The sequence below is a fragment of the Homo sapiens genome, chromosome 14 (assembly GCF_000001405.40).
Source record: "Homo sapiens chromosome 14, GRCh38.p14 Primary Assembly".
NCBI lineage: Eukaryota > Metazoa > Chordata > Mammalia > Primates > Hominidae > Homo > Homo sapiens.
This window is the reverse complement of record NC_000014.9, coordinates 30,449,827-30,472,534: the sequence shown is the minus strand read 5'-3', so window position 1 is coordinate 30,472,534 and position 22,708 is coordinate 30,449,827. Positions and strand designations below refer to the sequence as shown.

The 22,708-nt window shown below is 37.9% G+C and overlaps 2 long non-coding RNA genes across 5 annotated transcripts in view; both read left to right on the top strand.

The window, feature by feature from the left end:
• Positions 1-22,708, top strand: part of LOC112267868 (uncharacterized) — a 96,358-nt gene that overhangs the window by 2,003 nt on the left and 71,647 nt on the right. For 2 of the 4 annotated variants that reach the window (XR_007064106.1, XR_943707.2), the window contains exon 3: positions 32-155. The exons of 1 other annotated variant lie outside the window; for it this stretch is intronic. This is a non-coding gene — a long non-coding RNA (uncharacterized LOC112267868). Of the gene's footprint in view, positions 1-31; positions 156-3,180; positions 3,746-22,708 lie in introns of those variants that run through there. One more of the 4 variants, XR_007064107.1, reaches the window with a different exon arrangement.
• The window catches only part of G2E3-AS1 (G2E3 antisense RNA 1), a 139,366-nt gene that overhangs the window by 104,823 nt on the left and 11,835 nt on the right, over positions 1-22,708 (top strand). The gene's annotated exons all lie outside the window — the stretch shown is intronic.

The window sequence follows — 22,708 nt, the reverse complement described above, 5'->3', positions numbered from 1 at the left end:
GTCGTTCATTGCTTCTCCTTACCTTTCCAAGGAGGTACCTTTCTGGCTTCTCTGTTGAACATTTCCTAAATAAAGTGTGGATGAAAAGCAATAGAGGAAGGAAATGCAGAAAATTATAAGGCTGAAATAGAAACTGGCCACAGCAGAGATTAAAGGTAGGTAAGCATGTATTCAGTATATACCCATATACTCAGATACACTGTGGCCCTTCTGGATCTTGGAAAATCTTGAGCAGAGCATATTTATAACAGGATCCAAGTATATTTGCTTTTCTAAGCAAGTAATCTTAGGCTATGGACTATTCATAGTGTAGTTAGTTGGGTTATTTTAAGCAAATGTTTTCACCTTCTCCATGCACTCTGCACTTGTCATTTGTCAAATGGGGGTAATGTCTACCTTAGCACACTGTTTTGAAGATTGCAATTAGCTAATGGATTTGAAAGTACTGTAGCAAGTTAAAAATGTTCTACAAAGACAAGGCATTTAACATATTCTTCAAAGGCTCTGTGCTGTTCTAATGGGTGGAAGGGGAGTTTCTTGGGCACCCTGCAAGGCCAAGATCAGTGTTAGTTTCCCACAGAGATCACTGGGTGTGGTTGTCTAGGTAATGTGAAATTGCATATGCCTTTACCCAGGACCTGGGACCCCTAAGGCTATGGGCAAGTATATTATTTCTTTGTCTTGTTTTTCTTGATTTCAGAGATGTACTGATATGGTTCTCAAAATGTGGGGAAAAGAGGATACTATATGATTAAGTATAAGAGTCATCCTTCATTCCTGAACCCACCACTTACTATTCCTCTTCCCTTTTACCATCTTCTTTTGAAATGATATTTCTTCTATGTGATCAAAGCTATGAAAATGCTTTTAGTCTAGGATGGAATGCCCGGGTTCAACAATCACAGAAAAGCATTGTGTTAAGATACTTTCTGCAGCAAGTTATAAAAACAAAACAAAACAAAACAAAAACCACCAAACAAACAAACAAATAAACTTTGACTCATTGTATGATCAGCAGCTCACAAAGATCATTGAGGACCCAGGTCCATTTTTCTTCCTGCTTTGCTGTCCTCAAACATGGTTTCTTACAGCGGCTGATGTCAAAGAAAACCAGAGGTGGACAGTTAAGTAGTTAAAGAAGTAAAGGCAGATTTCACTCAGAAATTATTGTAATAGGGGAAAGAGACCTCAGAATAGAAATGGGCTCAATTCTGAATTCAACAAGGAAAGAGGGGGATTCATAGCTAAGGAACAGGGCTGGGGCGGGTGGAAAATTATTTAGAGAAGAGGCCAATTCTTTGCTAAACCGGCCTAATAGGATTGTTGCTGAAGGCAGGCCAGGGTGTTCAGATATTACCTGAGGGAAGTTGGGTGATGAATAATTTGGTTGGATATTGAGGATGATCAGATATTGGGGGTTGGGGGAGGATTCTGGCTAAACTGACTTCTCAGGACTCCTACTAAAACTGGACTCTCCAAGGACAGAGAAGCCCAAGGTTGTACCTAGTAGAGGGTTCAAAGGAGCCTGACTAAAGTTTGGTCAAGGAGAGAATCTTTGTCATTGGCTTCATATTTACAAGATATATAGTATATATAGCTGCAATAGTTCCAAGTTTCCTATCCAGACCCAATAACATCCAGGGGAATGTGAGCTACTGTCTCTTCCTTGAAACTATTTTATTTTTAAAGGAAAAAGGGCTTTTCCAGAAGCTCCCACTTGACTTCTCTCATATTTAATGGCTGTACTGAGTCACGTGCCAATTTTAAACCAGTAATTGAAACGAGAAATGGGTTACCATGATTAACTTAGACATATCATCTTGCTAAGTCAACCACAATGACCAGCACTAGAAGAATACTTTTTGTTTAACTTTGAATTAGATATTTTATAACTTTTCTGTACTGGATTCAAAATTTTCTTTTGATTGCTAGATCTAGTAAAACTCTACAATTACACTCACAATGATAATGTGCATTCAGATGTAACACAATAGGCAGTTGACTCCCATTCTCCTTATACCCCTCATTCACAAATTGGGTGGGCTAAATTCTTGTCTTTTGAGCATGGAGGAAGAATGTAAGGTGTGAGAAGGAACAATATTGGGTGGAGATATCCAGGCAGCTCTTGGGAATTGGAGGCAAAAACAGACCCCTACATTCTCAGTATTCTTTCTACATAATCTCTTTAGATCAGGTTGATAAAGTGTATACCAACCAATCGGGGGTTCCTGGAATCACTGCCACTCTTTTGTCATTCTAGCTAGCTACAGGGCTCCAAATTATCTCCACTTAAAATTAAGGTAGAGTAGAAAACCACAACAATTTTATGACAAAATGCTGCTAGAACCAAGTGGGCTTGGAATGCATAGCCAGATTCATAGGAATTTCTGTTTGGCTCGGTAGGCAGTAGCCACTCCTGGTCTATTTATTTATTTCACAATAATGCATGTGCATTTTACATGATTATATTTTCAGATTTTATTTATTGAGTCTTATTAGAATTTTACTGCATTTGTTCTCTGGTCTTCATACAGGCAGTATGGCACAGTGGGGAGAAACCATGCTGAAGCATAGTTGTTTCCCTAACTTGAGGATATTACTGATTTCTTCTATTTGTCTCAGAAATTCTGAACCAGGTGAGAGAAGAGGAGGTAGTAGGGCAGAAGAAAGAGAACAAATAGCATGACAGAAATGCACAGAAGTTATGGGACATTGTTCTGGGGAGATTTTCACAGAGAGAAAAAGACTTTCTTTTAAATATTCTTTCCAAATAATCACAGTTAGTAATAAAGAAACCATAACTAACCATGGCTAAAATATTGAGAGTAAGAAAACTTTTACCAAGTGATGAAATACAGCTTATGTATCGTATTAGTCAGAACCAATAAGACATATATGGATATATAGGAAGAGATTTACTATGAGGGACCGGCTCACACAATTATGGAGGCTAAGTCTACAATCTGTTGTCTGGAAGCTGGAGAACCAGAAAACTGGTGGTGTCATTGTAACTCCAGCGCAAAGGCCTAAGAACCAGAAGAATCAATGGTGTAAGTCTCAGTCTGCATCTGAAGGCCTGAGAACCAGGAGCGCCAATGTCTGAGGGCAGGAGAAGGTGGGTGTCCCAGCTCAAGAAGAGAGAGCAAATTCAGTCTTCCTCTGCCTTTTTGTTCTGTTCAGGCCCTTCCTGGGTTAGCTGATGCTCACCTACATTGATGAGGACAATCTTTGTTTAGTTTGCTGATTCAATTGCTCACCTCTTCTGGAAACACCTTCACAGACTCACCAGAAATAATGTTTTACCAGCCATCTGGGCATCTGTTAGCCCAGTCAAGTTGACACTTAAAATTAACCACCACAGGTATGATATGAATAAACTAGCTGGCATAAGCCATTAAACAGAAAAGCAACTGAGTAACAACGACATTAACTAAAGTGCCGTCATGGGTTAACATAACAAAATGTTCTTAATTCTCTTCATACTTATTTTCAACCTTAGCGAAATATGTGGTTTTTACACTGCTGCAGAACAAATAGAACAGAACTTATGGTACATAATTTATGTAAGTGATTTTATGTGTGTTTTTTTAAGAGTTTTAAAATAATTCTTTAAAAATAGCTCCATTGAGACATAATTTACATACCATGAAATTCACCCATTGTAAGTGTACAATTCAATGATTTTTTAGCAACTTTATAGAGTTTTGGGTAAATTTCACTGTGATTCAATTTTAGAACATTTTTCTCACCCCAAGAAGTTTTCTTATGCTCATTTGCAGTCAGTACCCACCCCCCACCCGGCTCCAGGCAGCCATTTATCTGCTCCCAGTCTCTATAAATTTGCCTTTCCTGGAAATTTCATATAAATGGAACTGTACAATTTGCAGTTTTTTATTTTTGACTTCTTTCACTTAGCATACTGTTTTAGGGGTTCAACCAAGTTGTAGTGTGTATCAAAAGCTCATTCCTTTTCATTGCGCAATAGCATTTCATTGTATGGATATGCTTATCCCGTTGGTTTTTTCCATTCATGTCAACGGACATTTGTATTGCTTCCAATTTTTGGCTATTATAAATAATGCTATGGACATTTCTGTACAAGTTTTGTGTCAATGTATGTTTTCATTTCTTTTGGGTATATGCCTAGGAGTGGCATTGCTAGGTCATCTGGTAACTCTAGGTTTAACTTTTTAAAAACTGCCAAACTGTTTTTCAAACGGCTGTAACATTTCACATTCTTTCCAGCAATGTGTGAGGGTTCCAATTTCTTCATATTATCATCAATATCTAGTATTGTCACTCTTTTTGATTGGTCATTTTAATGTGTGGGTATGCCATTTTGCTGTGATTTTAATTTGTATTTCCCTAATGACTAATAACATTGAGAATGTTGTCATTTGCCTATTATCCATTTTTTTCAGGCACATGATTGGCATATACTTTCTCCTAGTCTGTAATTTGTCTTTTTATTTTTCTTATTGGTAACTTTTGAAAGTAAAATGTTTTAATTTTGCTGAAGCCCAATTTGTCATTTTTTTTTTTCTTTTCTGGATCATGCTTTTAGTGTCATATCTAAGAATTTTCTGCTTATATCCAGGAGTTTCTCCTATGGTTTCTTTTAGAAGTTTTATAACTTTTGCTCTTCCAATTAGGTATTTGATGTGTTTCAAGGAAATTTTTGTGTAAGGTGTAAGGTAAGGGTCTAAATTCGTTTTGTTGCATGTGGCATCTATTTGCCCTAGTAACATTTTTTGAAAAAAATCATAGTACCCATAACGACTCAATTGACCATAAATGTCAGGATTTATTTCTGACTCTGAATTCTTTTCCACTGATTTATATATTTGCCTTTATACCTATCACACTGTTGTCATTATTGTAGTTTTATATTAAGTTTTGAAGTTGAGTAGTATACGTTCTCTAAATTTGTTCTTTTTAAAAATTATTTTGGCTACTTTGGGTTCTTTGAATTTTTATATGAATTTTAGGATCAGCTTGTCAATTTCTACAAAAATGACTGCTGGGATCTTGACTGGGATTGCATTGAATCCACAGAACAATTTGGGATATGTTACTATATTAACAATATTGAAGCTTCCAGTTTATGAACATGGAATGTAACTTTATTTATTTAGATCTTTAATTTCTTTCAGTCTGTTTTACAATTTTCAGAGTATAAGTTTTCCACTTCTTTTGTTAAACTTATTACTAAATATTTTATTTTTATTGATTTTATTGGGAATGAAATCATTTCTTAATTTTACTTTTGGTGTTTGTTGCTATTACATAGAACTAAAATAGTTGATTTTTGCATATTGATCTCATATCCTGTGGCCTTTTAAATTTATTTATTAGTTTTAGTAGACATTTATGTGGCCAACAAACATATGAAAAAAGCTCAGCGTAACTGATCATTAGAGAAATGCGGATCAAAACCACAATGAGATACCATCTCACACCAGTCAGAATGATAATTATTAAAAAGTCAAGAAACAACAGATGCTGGTGAGGCTGTAGAGAAATAGGAACGCTTTTACACTATTGGTGGGAACGTAAATTAGTTCAACCATTGTGGAAGACAGTGTGGTGATTCCTCAAAGAGCTAGAACCAGAAATGCCATTTGACCCAGCAATCCCATTACTGGGTATAACTCAAAGGAATATAAATCATTCTGTTATAAATATACATGTATGTGTATGTTCATTGCAGCACTATTCACAAGTTCAAAGACATGAAATCGACCCAAATGCTCATCAATGATAAAGTGGATAGAGAAAATGTGGTATATATACACCATGGAATACTATGCAGCCATAAAAAGGAATGAGATCATGTCCTTTGCAGGGACATGGATAGAGCTGGAAGCCATTATCCTCAGCAAACTAACGCAGGAACAGAAAACCAAACACTGCATGTTCTCACTTGTAAGTGGGGGCTGACAAATGAGAACACATGGACACAGGGAGGGGAACAACACACATTGGGGCCTGTTGGGGGTGGGGGGCGGGGAGAGGCAGAGCATCAGGAAAAATATGCTTACCAAGCTTAATACCTAGGTGATGGGTTGAGAGGTACAGCAAACCACCATGGCACACATTTACCTATGTAACAAACCTGCACATGTATCTTGGAATGTAAAATAAAAAAAAAAAAAAAGATCCTTTAGGATCATATAATTTGTGCATAAAAACAGTTTTACTTCTTTCTTTTCAATCTGTGTTTTTTTCTTTCTTTTTAAAATCGAATCTATATTATTTACTTGCTTTTTCTTGCCTGACTGCACTGGCTAGAACCTACTGTATCATGTTGCATAGGAGTGGGAAGAGTAGCTATCTCATCTATTTCCTGATCTTGGGGGGAAAAGCATTCAGTTTTTACCATTAAGTGTGATGTTTGTAGGTTTCTCATAGATGTCTTTTTTTTTTGCTAAGGAAGTTCCTTTCTATTTCTAACTTGTTGAGTTTTTTACATTCAGATGTCATAATGAGGAGTTTGGCTTTTATTTGACAATAAAGGGTCAAATGTTTCTATCAAGGAAGTGGCATGATCAGAGTTACTCTTTAGAAAGGTAATTCTTAGAGTGGCATGGGAAAGAAGAGACTGGAGACAGGAAGGCCAAATAAAAGTCATCTGCAATACTTTATGTTCTCAAATTTTAGTGCATATCAGAGTTATCGGAGTCCAGTTAAAACACAGACTGCTGGTCTCATCCCCAGAGTTTCAGACTAAGTGGGTATGAGGTGGGGTTTGAGGATTTGTATTTCTTACAAGTTTCCAGGTAATTCTGATGCTGTTGGTTCATTTTGCTGACCACTGGTCCAGGCAAAGAAAAGAAACACTTGAACTAGAATGGTGGCAATAGGATAGAAAGATACCAGAGTGGAAGAGTCCATGTCTCAGGAACTTATAGGATATGGAGAATGAAGTTGGGAGTTCATGATGACATGAATCAGACTTATATGATTGGTGGTCATGTTAATAGAGGTAGTTGTGGAAGGTTACTTGAAGAGGTAGATTGATAATGCATTTATTTATGCAGTAATGCCTACTGGATTTGAGATGCAAGAAAGATACTTAGGTGGAGATTCTCAGCAAACACTTGGGACTTCTTATCTATGAGAGGTTGGGATCAGAAATGGAAGTTTTGGAGCCATCAAGCCATCATCACTCATTTCCACCCACTATATGGAAATACAGTGAGACTGAAAGGCCTGAGCCAAAAACAGAACTGTGGAGATTCTTACCTTCTCAAAGTGGGATAAGTAGGAAACAGGAGTGGTCAGGAGAGTACAGTGTTTCAGTGCAAAAAGGTAGAGAAAGGTTCAACAAAGAGCCAAGAGGGTCCAATCTTGCAGAAAAAGATGAGTGGCCTCCAGTGTCATTAGATTCTGTGATGAGGAAGCAATTGGTGACCTTTAAGAGAGAAATTTCTGCAAAGTAGAAAGGCAGAGAAAAGATTATAAAAGCTTAAGGAGTAAGTAAATTGTTACAAAGTGAAGACCACTAGGGCAACCAAATACTAAGTTGAAACTGTATCAGAAAATGATACTTTGAACTGAGTACTTTGAGCTAAAGGAGACTGGAAGGCCTCAGAAACAGCCCCAGAAGCATAGCCTCTCTTTGCCCTTCTTCTGCCCTCCTGCCTCCTGCCCCTCCTTCTCCCCTGAAGCGAGTCATAGAGACCAGAATTCCATTTCCCTAATGTGGGTCATAGAAACTAGAATCCTTCTCCCCCAAAGCAAGCCATCAATCCTAGAAAGGCTACTCTTTCCCTTTTCCATTCTCTCTTGAAGGCCCTCATTCCATAAGGATCCTGGCCCAAATCTGGGAGGAAGAATGTTGCACAGAGAGGCCAAGAAGAATCTGAACAAGCAGGCTTTGCTGGATCTCCTCCCTCAGTCTGTTACCATTAGATCATACCCTTTTGTCTAATCACATTTCTACACAGCTGTCTATTCTTCATTGAACCTAAGTATAAAAACAAATTATTTTCCCTGGATTTTTAGGTTTTCATTTCTGAAGCCTCCTATGTCATGTAAAAGTTTGATTAAAGAAATATGTTTTTTTCTTGTTATCCTGGTTTTTGTTATAGGAGTGTTGGCTGTGATGATTATAACGGGTGAGGAAAGATATCACACCTTTCAGCCCTTACAAAACTAAATGGGAATTCAGAAAACAATATTTAAAAAAATATAGGAAAACTCACTGGGGAGTTTCAACATGCCACTCTTGGACAGAGAGAATGACCTCCATGTTTTTAGAGATTTGAAAAGCTAGTGTCTGGGAGTTTGGTGAAACCAGGAAGGAATTGTGATTAGCAGCAAGATGAGGATCAATGAACACCAAGCAAGAAAAGGAGTGGTGGCTTAGTAAATGGAAACAACACTGAGGCACAGGAAGAAGAGAGATGTGGATAGAAAAATAGAAAAGGGGGAAGGCAAAAGGGACAAAAATGTGTCCATGAGAATGTAAAGGAGAAACATTTCTTTTTTTCACGCATTGCTAGGTTCATAACTGAGACCCTTATAACAAAAGATAGATTAACGAGAGAAAAGCATAACAAATTTATTTAATATAAGTTATAGGTGACATGGAATCTTTAGAAATGGAGGCCCAAAGAAAGAGAGAAAATTGTGTATTTTTATGCCAAGTTTGGTAAAGAAGTTGTGGGGAAATATGATTAGACCAAAGGGGGTATAATCCAATGGTAATAAACTGGGGGGAACTTAGCAAGAATCTGTTTGCTCAAATTCTTCTCTGTGTCCCTCCCTGTGTGATATTCCTTTCTTCTGTGTATAGGGCATACGAGAGTCTTATGACCCACTTTTAAATTTTTTGATTTTTAAAAATGGAGATGGGGTGTCATTATGTTGCTCAGGCTGGTCCCAATCTCCAAAGCTCAAGCAATTTTCTTGCCTCAACTTCCTGAAGTGTTGGAATTACAGGTGTGAGCCACCACATCTGGCCTTATGACATATTTTAGAGGAAGATCAGAGCATTTGTGGTGTATGTCAGACAAGGGTAGGGGAAAATCAGAGAGACTTTTTTTTTTTCTTTGAGATGGAGTCTGGCTCTGCTGCCCAGACTGGAGTGCAGTGGCGTGATCTCAGCTCCTGCAACCTCTGCCTCCCAGGTTCAAGCGATCCTTGTGCCTCAGGCTCCCAAGTAACTGGGACTACAGATGCCCACCACCATGCCCAGCTAATTTTTTAATTTTTAGTAGAGACAGAGTTTCACCATGTTGGCCAGGCTGGTCTCGGGCTCCCAACCTCAGGTGATCCTCCTGCCTTGGCCTCAGAGAGACTTTTGCTTCAGCTGTTTCCTCAAATGCCAAGGTGCCATATTTTGGGAGAGCATATATCCATCAAGGGATATATTTAGGAATGTTCTAGCATGGACGGCATTATCTTACTTTGTTACTCAATCCTCTAATGACAAAAAGGAATGTTCATGTTGCCTGAATTTACTCTTACGTACACCTGTTTCTTTCTTAACACCAAAAATTAGTGGCAATCTCTCTCACCTTCAAGTGCAGTCCATAGAAGTCTAAAGTGTGCAACAAGATAATTATTACTGAGATAATCTGTATTTTCCCCGTGCCACAGTATAGTAATGTGATAGGACTTTACAGGTGTTCCTGAAAGGCCTGTGGGGTTGGGACTGATGAGAACTGAGAGAAACACTCACATAACCCAATGAAAGAGGAGTCCAAATACAGTTCTTATACAATCAAACAATACAGAAAAGTACTTTTGTCATCATGTGTACCCCATCCCCCTCTTTTAGGTCATTTGAAACAATAGTTAGAAACATATGTGATTCCACACCAGACCTTCTACCTTGTGATTTTAGTTTTTTCAGGCACAGAGGAGAAATTTCTTTAGCCGAACTGCTTGCTCAGTGTACATTAAAGAACTGGTGTTCACAGTATAGCTGATAGCTAGTGGAAATGAAATAATCTGTATTGACACATTTGGAAGTTTCACATCTTTTTCCACTTCACATGCTAACGTGATAATTGCTAGACTGATGATTTTTCCAGTGACAAATCTGCCTTTGTCAATATTTAGACCTGTGTATAGAAAGCTTATCTAACACACCTGGCTAATTTTCACTTCATTTAAAAATAAATGGAAGATGTTTAGCTTGCCGGGTTAAAACAAAAAAAAAGAGGTTTCATAAATAATTTTCTCAAAACACCTTTATGATAATAAGATAATTGCTATAAAAAGTAATTTTCTTCATTAAATGTATTTGATCAGATTTAAAATCTTGGCAGAAGTATGTGTGAAGATCATCTTAAGGATTTTGAGGCTTTTTTTCTTGAGGAAAATTCTTTGGAAACTCAAAAAATCACTTGGAATATTCAGGGGAAACTGATTTGGATTTTGCAGCTTTGAAAGCCTATCCCAGAGTTTGATTTACTTGTTATTGTTTTGAGATGCTCCACTTGTAATCAATCCCCGGCATATCATGACTTCCACAAACTCAGAAGAATCTTGATCTTAATTTAGTGTCTTGGAAGATTAAAACTTATTCTAGAAAAACTCTCCTAGATAAGCTCAAGGTGAGCCATTCTCTCTAAGACTCCTGGGGAGTCACTTGAGAAGGCTACAAAAGAGCCTTTACTCACTTCATTGGTTCCTCACTGGGTGGACGACCCTTGTTTTACTTCATCTTGGGAAGCAAGAATTTCTGTTTCACATATGAATCCCTTTGGCAGCCACTGGTGCTACCCACCCTGCCCCACCACCCTCCAGGTCCTTGCAAGACTGATAGAGTGCCAAGAACTAGAAATGCTCATTTCAGAAAGCTGAGATGAATAGAGATCTTAAGTTGTTTTCTGATTGTTTTGTCATCATCATGTTTTTTGGGGTTTTGATGTTCCTCTCACTCCCTCTTCTTCCCTTTTCATGAAATGTAATTGCTGTTTAAAATGTTAGCCTGGCTTTCTTTTGAAAGTAGAACCACTCTGACAGTAACTGGGTTAACTGTATTGTTAAGTTTTTCTGGTTTCCAAAGGACGCCTCAAAAGTGTGGAAATAAAACTCTTTTTCTTTTCTTCTTCTTCTTCTTTTTTTTTTTTATGGCTAACAGCTTCCCAGGCTTCTAATTTGCTGTCCTGTTGCATTGGCGTTCATTATCTTTGTATTACAATTTAGTCATTCTGTTTGAGTTTCTATCCTTTCTCTTCTGAGTTTTTGCTGAAAACGGCAATAAAAGTAACACAGCTGAAGCTAGCAGGCAAACCAAAGACATAATGAGAACAGAGCTTTCATAGGAATTCCATTCTACATCACGGATTTCATTTGCAAATATTCAGAATGAAAAGCATACTTAAAGTATATTGAGTTCTTTCTCTCTCTTCTCTTTCCATCTAGAATCAATTATAAAATAAAGCACATCATTTTTATCTTCACTTGCCTGTAGAGGGAATCAGGTCATTTAGCCTCTGAAGATTTGGAGTAAAGGCTCAAGAAAACATTAAATATTATCATTTTTGTAGAGCCAAAGTGCAAGGTATGGCAACACCAATGTTTTAAGTTGTAGAATAAAGTAAGTTAAAACTGAGTGGCTAGCCTTTGCTAGTTATTCTGGAAAGTCAACTAAAAAAAATTGACCATTAATTGTAAACTCGCAAGCAGATGCAATAACTAACTAAGGTCAGCCCACAGAATGTAGACCATATAGAAAACTTTCACTTAACAATGAGGACACATTCCAAGAAATGCATCGTTAGGCAGTTTTGTCACTGTGGGAACATCATAGCATGCACACACACAAACATAGATGATAATAGCCTACTACATACCTAGACTATATGGGATAGCCTATTGCTCCTAGGCTTGCATATTACTCTACTTAATACTGTAGGCCATTGTAACATAATGATAAATATTTGTCTATCTAAGCATAGAAAATGTACAGTAAAAATATAGCATTATAATCTTATGGGACCATCAGGGTATATGTAATCTGTGATTGGATGAAACTTTGTTATGTGGCACACGACTATATCAAAGAAATAGTCTTAAAAGAGTGCCTATATTTTTTTCTGTCATCCCATCACAATGATACCAAATAATTAAAGATAATGTCCACTTTAAAGCAATAATTCTAACAACTCAGTGAACTTCATAGTCTTGCATTCTTTAATAGAAATAGAGATCTCAGCATTTATAATTAACAAGACTTGGTTTTCTATTCACTATTTTGGCAAAACAAGATTCACAATAAGGCTGTACACAAGTACTTCCTAGAATTTAGTTTTGATTGGAACATAATGGGTCAGACAATTAAAGGAGAATGAAAGTGAAATAAATATAAGCATTTCTAGAAATGGATAGTGAGTTAAAAGAATAGCATAATTTGAATGAATTCAATTATGTGTAAAATACAGTGTTTTTCATGCTCTTATCTGATATCATAGAGTATTTTTTCTTTAGAAACTATCAATCTCTTCCTATAGGCAGAACTGTGTGGGAAACCTAAATTATTATTACAAAGTCGCTTGGAGACAGGTAATCAAATAAATGGGATGAGGTTTTATTTAATATTTAATGGAAGCAGGAAGATAGCCTGAGCTATCCTTCTTAGGGAAGAATTGGTTTTATAAATGGAACCAGAATACTGGAGGTCCTTTGAGTATTGCTCCCTCTGTCCTAGAAGAAGCTTGGAAAAGTTATGTTTGGCTGCTTGATCCTTCTTTCTAGTTTTGCTTTGTTTTGCTTTCACCCATCCCACATATTCTTTGTTTAGGATGAGCTGCATAATTTAATCAACATGTAAGTGTAATGGCCATTTCGTTCCTTCAGTTCACTTTACACGTTTATATTTTGGTCCAGTTCATGCTCATCTTATAGTTTAACCCTCTGGTCCTTTAACTATGTATTTCAGTATTATCTTAGGACCTTTAAATGAAGATTCCTGGACCCCCAAGAGTTATACTTTTTTAGTGGATCAGGAGTGACTCCCAGGAGAGGACTTAGCTGCAGGAGACCCTGGGATAGATAACACTTTGAAAAACACTGCTAGAGAGTATTTTATTTATTTTATTTTTTGAGGCAGAGTCTCACTCTGTTGCCCAGGGTGGAGTGCAGTGGCATGATATTGGCTCACTGCAACCTCTGCCTCCCGAGTTCAAGCAATTCTTCTGCCTCAGCGACCCGAGTAGCTGGGATTACAGGAGCCCATCACCACACCTGGCTAATTTTTGAATTTTAATACAGACAGGGGTTTCACCATGTTGGCCAGGCTGGTCTTGAACTCCTGACCTCAAGTGATCCACCTGCCTCGGCCTCCCAGAGTGCTGGGATTACAGGAGTGAGCCCGTGCCCGGCCCTAGAGAGTATTTTAAATTAAATTTTTGACTATATAATATGTGGTTCAAAAATAATAATGCCATTCTCAAAGCTGCCTCATCTCTCACCCCTGTGGCCCACTGAGGTGCAGCCACCAAAATGGGATTAGATGTGTATGTCTGTAACCTGTGGAAGGAGAGAGAAGGAAATAGGATTGGATAGAAGTGTCAGACTGCAGCCTAGTTCCAAGAAAGGTCAGCTGGGCTAATAATGATGGGGAGTCTCTTATAAGAGAAGCTTCCTGGTTTGCTGGGATGGGTTTGTCTTAGTGCCCTAATCTTAGTGCTCCTACTTAGTCATTGTGTAGGAGCAGCCTGTGGGACGTTGGCCTTGGCACAAATATAGTGGTAGAGATCCAGAGGGATGGTGGCTGGGGCCATAAGCCAGTGATGCTCCCTGTAGTAGCATATCTGAATGACACAGTTCATGGCCATTATGCATTGTTAATAGTTTCTCATGAATCCCTTTAAAGTATCTTTTTGGGCTGGTTGCAGTGGCTCACGCCTGTAATTCCAGCACTTTGGGAGGCTGAGGTGGGCAGATCACGAGGTCAGGAGATCGAGACCATCCTGGCTAACACGGTGAAACCCCGTCTCTACTAAAAATACAAAGTATCTTTTTGTATATAAAAAACAAATGTAAGGAAATTCTCTGTTTTTCTTCTTTTTTCACAAAATTGGGAACATTCCACTTGCCTTTTTCATCCAAATCTCAGAGACCTTTCTATATTAATACTTGCAAAACTTCCTCATTCTTTTACAGTTCACTAGTGTTCTATTGTTTGGCTATACCATGATCTTTATTTTTTTGAACAGTCTTTACTGATGAGCATTTAAGTTGTTTCTATTCTAAAAATGCTGTTGTTTCAAAACTTTTCCAGACACTATTTTGCATATATGTAAATATATCTGTAGGATAGATTGATAGATTCCAGAAAAGAACTGCTGGGTCAAAGGATACATACAGGTAATTGTGACAGGTGTTGTCAAATTACTCTCCATAGAACATGAAACCTATACAAAGGGGTTATACCTAGTTATATTCCTGATGTATAAAAGTGCCTTTTGTTCACATAGCCAATTGACTGTTATCAAATGTCTGGATTTTTGCCAATATAATAAGTGAAAAGTGATATTCAGCATAGTTTTGTTTTGCATTTATCTTTTTATAAAGAGTTGATTTGAATATAGATATTTGAGGCATTTTATTTTTCTTTTCTGTGAACAGGCTGTTCTTATACTGGGCTTATTTTTCTATTGAGTTATTTTTTTCTTATTGATTTACGGGAGTTTAAAAAATATGAGGGAGATTACCCATTTATCTATGATAATGAGGTGAAACTTCCAAGTTTCTTGCTTGTCTTTCTACCTGTGCGTGGTATTTGACATGTGGGAGGAATACACACACACACACACACACACACACACACACACACACACACAGAGTACGCATATACTTTAAAAACATTTCATGTACTTAAATTTGCCAAGTATTTTGGGGAGGAGCTTCTGGATTTTGAGTCATACTTATCAAAGCCTTTGCTATTCCAAGGACATAAAGGGATTCTCCTAGGTTTTCTTCTAGTATATTGATATGATTTGATTTTGTCTCCACCCAAATCTCATCTTGAATTGTAGTTTCCATAATCCCCAAGTGTTGTGGGAGGGAACCGGTGGGAGGTAATTGAATCATGGGAGTGGTTGCCCTCACGCTTTTCTCGTGATAGTGAGTGAGTTCTCACGAGCTCTGATGGTTTTATAAGGGGCCTTTTTCCCTTTTGCTCAGCACTTTTCTCTTGTGCTGCCATGTGAAGAAGGATGTGTTTGCCTCCACTTCTGCCATGATTGTAAGTTCCGTGAGGCCTCCCCAGCCCTGCAGAACTGTGAGTCAATTGAACCTCTTGCCTTTATAAATTATCCAGTCTCAGGTATTTCTTCATAGCAGCGTGAGAATGGACTAATACATACATTATATATATATATATGATTTAATCTTTTACAGTGAAATCTTGAATCTATTTGGTTTAAAGCGTAAGGTAAGAATCCAGCATAATTTTTCCCCAAGAATTTACTCCAGCTCCATTCATTCAATGGGCCATCTTTTACCCACAGTGTTGAGGTGCCATTTTTGCTATATTTTAACTTATGCTAAATTCCCTTATGTATCTGGATCTATTTCTATTAGTCCCATTGGCATATCTGTTCATGTGTTGGTATCATATCTTCTAATTTGAGGCTTTTAAATATGTTTTAATATTTGGTATGACTAATCTTCCCTCAGCTCTTCTCTTTCATTGGTTTCCTGACTATTATTCTTTATTTTTTCCAAATACACTTTAGAATTGTTTCAAAAATCAAACAAACAAAAATAAAAAACTTGATTGGGGCTTTGTTAGGATTCTAATAAATTTATGAACTAACTTACAAAGAATGATGACTTTAGCACATTGAATCTTTGTGTTAATGAACACGACATAGTCGAGTTTTATGTTCTGAGAATCTTCTTTCATTTTTAAAATATTGAGATATTTCACTATAGTTCCCAAGTACTAAAAATATTAACTGCTCATTGAATATGTTAAAATATAATTTTCAAAGAGGGTAAATCATGACTCTTATGAATATGTAGAATAAACAGATGTCAAAGATTTTATTTATCTCATAAGTAATGAGGGAACCAGTAAGATGTTATTTTAGTCCAAAGAGCTTTGAGAAGATAGGTGCCTATAAGAAATTTAATGGATTTCTGGGTTGGATACAGAATTAGTTAATGTCCAACAGCACTGTAAGTCTTTGTGGTCATTTGTTCTACTGGACGGAAATGATTTGTACATTTATTAAACAAAACACTATACCTTAACCTTTGCCCCTACAGAACTGGAAAATAATCCAGGCAATAACATTAAGCACAACCTTGCACTGAAATAATACCCATTTCTTTTTCCAGTTTCCAAGTTTCAGAAATTATTTTTTCTAGCAAGCATATCATTAAATAAAATTGTTAGCATTTTCAAATTTAAAACTTTATTTGATTGGATTTCTTCTTATTATGTATTATTATTATTTTGTGGTGACCATAGGTGGTTCCTTCTCTTTGATGATTTGTTTTTCTTATAATGAAACCCTAGTGATATTTCTTGGACAAAGAAATCTCTAAGAAGGCATTGCATTAATTTAACAGATATTTACTGCGTGTTGAGCACTGTTCTAGGTTCTTAGGATACAGCAGTGAACAAAACAGAGAAAGCTCTCTGTCTTCATGGACCTTGCAGTCTGCCTGGGTGAGCTGGACAATAAACAATAAATGTAATAATAAAGTGTATAATGGGTAGGAGGTGATAAAAGAGAAAACAGAGGAGTAAAGAACAGCAGGAATGTAGGAAGAGGTGTTGTGAGTTGCAATTTCAAGCAGGGTGGTTAGGGTAGGCCTCACTGAGACAGTGACTCTTGAGCAAAGGCTTGTAGGAGATGAGGGAGTCAGCCACATAGGGATCTAAGGTGAGAGAATTTTTGGCAAAAGTCACAGCAGGGCCAATGCCCTAATGAAGGAACTTGCCAGGCCTGATAAAAGAACAGCAAAGAGACCAATATGACCGGAATGGAGTGAGGCAGAGAGGAGGTTCAAGGTCTTATCATGCAGAGTCTTGAAGACCATAACGGAATTTTGTATTTTATTCAGAGTGAGATGAGAAGCAGATGAGTGATATAATATGACATATTTGAAAGGATTCCTTTGGCTGTTGTGGTGAAAATAGAAAGGGCAGTCAAAACTGGAAACAGGAAAGCCTATTGAAATAATTCAAGAATGGGATTTTCGTGACTTGGACCAGGGTAGTAACAGTAGAGAAGGGAAGAAAAGGTTGGATTTTGCATATGTTGTGAAGGTAAAACCAATATGATTTGCTAGTGGATTTGATGTGGTATGTGAAAAAAGGAGTAAAAACTCACAGATTTTTGGTTTGAGCCACTGGGAGGTTGGAACTACCATTGACTGGAATGGGGAATGCTATGGGTAGGACAGATTTGATGGAATAAAATCAGGAAGCTCAGTTTTGAAGCCGTTGACCTTGAGATAACTAATAGATGTTCAAGTGGGGATATCAAGCAGACAATTGGATACATGAGTCCTAAGTTCAGGATTGAAGGCTGTGTTGAAGATGTAAATTTGACAGTCATTGAATCACAGCTGGGATTTAAAGCCAAGACTGGATGAAAACCTGTAGATGTAGTTATTGAGCCTTGGGACCCTCTAACATTAAAGAGGTCATTTCTTGATATGACCAAGCAACCTGTGTTTGATTAGTATCAACTGAGTCTTGATCCATATCAATAGCAAAACATAGCAGAGATTTTTATACCATTCATTATTGCCTAAAGGTTAAGCCAAGTATATGTTCAATGAAATCCTTCTGTAATTTCAATAAGTAAAATTGCAAGTACATGATAAAAATTCTTTGAAAATAGTATTTGATAATAGCTAAAGAAAAGAACATCTCATATAGAAACACATGTTCTGTGCTTAGCTTCATTTCACATCATACTAAACATTTTAGGTTCATCAGAGAAATATATTAGATGTGTATTATATACCTTGACCTTTAGAACTCTTTGTCCAAATGTTACACAGGTTCATAGATGCAATTACAGCATTATACTGTCTCTGATATTTGATAGGTTTTGCAAAAAGAGCTGGTAGTTAACAAAACCTTAATTACTTGTACCCTATAATTATACTGAAGGCATGGACTGTCTTTTTTGTGGGGAGCAGGAGGGAAGTGTGTGTGATCTATATACAGCTCCCTGATTTGGTCATGTTGTGCATGTTTGAAGGAGAGCCCAGCATATTCTGGAGAAAGCAGGCAGGCCTTGAAAACAGCTTAACAATTAAACTTTTTCTTCTTCTAAAAGTTCTCTGAAGCCCATCAATACTTGGCATAGCAGCTTCAAAGACCCCTCTGCTCTCCTATGGATTGGTTTAGGGTTTCCACACCATGGTTTTACTCATTCCTTCTGCTTAGGAACATTCATTTAAAGATTTAAAATTAGCTGCTTCTACTATCAACTGAAGACTTTATATACAAGTAACTTTATCATGCAGATCATAGCAACATGAGAAAGGCAAACCATAGAGATAGAAATGGAATGGAAGGCATTTTCATTCATAAAATCCCTTTGGAGTCATGATTAAAAATTTTATCCTATTAAAATTCAGACCAAAGACAGTAGTCAACTACTGCCCAGCCACATGCGTTCCAAGCAGATACTGAATAAATGTTAGAGCTAAATTCCTCATTGGTTTGAAGATTATAAGCTTAATTTCTATGGTTACTTTTGCCTTTACCTTGTCTTATGAACTGAATTGTGTCATCCCCAAATTCATATAAGGAAACCCTAACCCACAGTGTGACTGTATTTAGAGATAGGGCCTAGAAGGAAGTAATAAAGGTTGAATGAGGTCACAAAGGTGGGGGGCTACTTCAATAGGATTAGTGTGATTAGAAGAAGAATAGACACCAGAGAGGTCTCTCTCTTTACAGAGAAGAGGTCATGCAATGACACAGTGAGCAGGCAGTCACCTACAAGCCAGGAAGAGAGGCCTCACCAGAAACCAACTCTGGTGGCACCTTGATCTTGGACTTCTAGCTTCTAGAACTGTGAGAAAAACAAAACAAAACAAAACAAAACAAAAAAAACAAAAAACAAAAAACTCTGTTTCTTAAACCACGCAGTCTGTGTTATCTTATTATGGTGGCCCAACCAGGCAAATACACCTGCTTTATTTTTCTTTGCAACACTTACTACCACATGACCTGGGAGTTTATACATATATATGCCATGTAAGTTGGGACTTTTTGGTTTGTTGCTATTGCCTTGCAGGTAGTAGGCATGCAATGAATATTTGTTGAATAAACAAATTATATGGGCTTGCCTAGGGAGAGAGATAATAAACAAAGAAAACACCACATTTCTTGGGGTGTGGTGTCTCTGACCCACATAATTACATTTACCATACAATTGATGTAGCTATTTCATCTCCTTTCCTGTCCTTTTATAATCTCATCTTCCTCATCAGATTGTGCGGTCTTTGAGGGATAATACCTATCTTTATTTGGGGTCTCCCAGAAGTAGATCCTGAGACAAAGATTCCAGATGCAGGGAGTATCTGTAGAGGAATAGGGAGGTGATTAAAGGAAGGAAAGGGAGCCAATAAAAATGGTGGTAATAAGCCAGCTACCGCCATGGGCAACTGGAGCTAAATCCTGTGGTGACACTCTGGGAAAGGATAAAAGTCAAATGTGCAAATGATCTTTCCTAATGGGTGAGGGAGCTGGGGCAGTTATTCACTGACTCCTGAGAGAGTCATTGTCCTGTTACTATAGGCAACAGGGTCTGCCACAGCTCCAGAAAGTTGCCAGGTACAGAGGTACTGACCCTGGCAGCTGTAAACCTGCTGCTAAAATGCAAGCATCCCAGGAACATGGGTGGGGCTTAAGATGTCTGCTGTAGCACTCATCCATCTGTCTGCATAACTTAGCAGCACCCAAAAGTTTATTGACACAATATGAAGTATCAGGTCTTTCCTGCTGGTGGGGCTCAGAAAACAATACCCCAAACTAAGGGTCTCAGAAGCAATTTCAGAAGCAGAAGTTTTTCTTGGACCTTCTGCTCCTGCCTGCCTGTCTCTCAGTCCTATTCTTCCCTAAGGCTAGCTATAGAAACTAGAATCCCTCTTCCCCAATGCAGGCATGGAAACCAGAACCCCTTTTTCCCAAAGCCAGTCATAAAACCTGAAAATATTACTCTAACTTTTCCTCTGCCTTTCTGTGTAAAAACTGGCCATAAATAAATTATCTGACCTACCTCCTTTGACTGTAGGTGATAAGACCCTCGCTCTAGAGAGGGTCCTGCCCCACACCCAGAAGGAAGGAATGCTGCTCAGAGAGGCCAGGACGAATCCGAACACACAGGCTTTGCTGTGTTTTCCCTCTCAGCCTATTAGCTTTAGATCATACCCCTTTTGTCCAGTCATATTTCTACATGGCTGTCTATATTTTGTTGAATTTAACTGTAAAAATGGATGATTTCCCCTGTATCTTTGGGTCTTCATTCTGAAGTTTCCTGTGTATACACATTAAATAAATCTGTATGCCTTTTTTTCCTATTAATTTGTCTTTTCTTCTGAGATGGAGTCTCGCTCTGTCACCCAGGCTGGAGTGCAGTGGCATGATCTGGGCTCACTGCAACCTTCGCGTCCTGGGTTCAAGCGATTCTCTCGCCTCAGCCTCCTGAGTAGCGGGAACTACAGGTACGTGGCACCATGCTTGGCTAATTTTTTGTATTTTTAGTAGAGATGGGGTTTCACTGTGTTAGGCAGGATGGTCTCGATCTCCTGACCTTGTGGTCCGCCTGCCTCGGCCTCCCAAAGTGCTAGGATTACAGGCGTGAGCCACCGCGCCCTGCCTAATTTGTCTTTTTGAGTTGATTTTTCAGCGATGCTTCAGAGGGCAAAGGGGCAATTTTCCCTTGGCCCCTACACTGGAGCTTTAGCATTAAAAAGCGATGAAAACAGACTTAAGAAATGCACAAAACCACTTCATCTTATATTTTTATCCACACTTGGAAAATGTATTCCAGTTATCTACAAATATCCATGAGATAGATGGGGTGTGCTGATGTCCAAGTTAATGGTGATGGGATCAAACTTCTGGGCCGCGTGGCCTTGGTTTGACCTCCCGTTTAGGTATTGATGTTTTCTCTTAAGCTCAGTTCTGGCATTATTTCAACCCTGGATGTTATTCAGTATGAGGTTTTACAAAAAACTCCACCTCCTTTTATTTATTTTTTCTTGGCTGAAGCTTTTAAAAAATGTTAATCTATACATCCTCCTCCACAATTACATTTGCCAGAGGAGTAGGAGCCAAACAATTAAATTCCCCATAGGTGCTGGGTGTAATAATTTCTCATGAATCAGAAGATTAAGCATGGCAACAACAAATGGAACAAGATGGTCTAAGCTCTGTTTTTCCTACAGAACAGCAAATAGTTGCAAATCAAAAGGCAGTTCTCCTTCATTACCACCGTATGAGGCAGTAGGCTAAAAGCAGGCTCATTTGGTAATGTTTTCTGTGTGGCTACGGTATGTACACACAGTGCAGGCCTTTATGCACTGTCTAATAGACAATATTATATACTAGGGCATTGCCGACATTCATTTTATGTGGAGATACAACTGGTATGCCCAGGACACTGGCCTCCAAGCTGTGTGTGCACTGAACTAAAGGAACAGTTTTGCTTGCTCAAGCCGGGCAAAGCTATTTATACTTAAACACATTCTTCACTGCTTATAACATGCTGTACTAGGTGACAGTCCGTGAGCAGGACAGGCTGCAATCATGGGCTGTGATCTCAGGGAGTCCTGCAAGCTGTAGCTTGTGGTGAGCTTCACCAAGTTGACACATTTTCTCTCTCTCTTTACCCTAGAATCAGCTACCCTGCTGATCTGGAGGCCTTTGGGGACATGAACTCTTGTAGCAGGAATCAAAGAACTGGTGTAAGAAAACGAATAGCAGAGCCATAGTGTTTTATCCCCTCTCTGCACTCCCCAAATTAGACTGCTTGTTTATTGAAATTGGTCAAACAGTTTAATTAGCATTCCATGTTTGTTATTTCTTTAATCGAGGTTTCAAACAGAACAAGGCAACAAGCCAGGCCAGTAATGAGTCTCCTCCACCTACTCTTAAGTTAAATACTTGCTGAGATTCCCATTGGTTTCCCAGAGACATCTCATCACTGATGTACTTTCACTTATCAACAGGGTTATTGAGCACTGTTCATAAATGCGTACTAATTGGCAGTAGGCGATGTATATATTTATGTAAATTTACAGTTATATATAGGTACCCATAAAACCTGTGTTTTTTTAAGTGAGAGAAATTAAGTATTTTTCTGATGGAATTTGAGAAATTATGAGGGCCCTCTATGAGGAAAAATGATTCACAAGATATACTGACTCATGTCTGAAAACCCACAAATTAACCTTCGTCCTTTTGTAAAGTTCACATGAGATGTAAGAAATTTTTTTAATTAATAAAAATTCTCCAAAAAAGGGCTTAAATGTTTAATTACTTGGGTTCCTATAACAAGTTGAGGTATTTTTAAAAGAAATGTCAAAGGTCAGGCAAATGGCTTTCACCATTTTGTTTCATCCAATATACTGCCCTGCTTTTAGCTGCAAATGTAGATGACTTAGGCAGTTTTAAAGAAATTATGCAAATCCTAATTGCAAACAGTTTTCCTTTTAGCTTTTCTACATTTAGACTAACTGTAGTAATTATTTGAAAACCTTT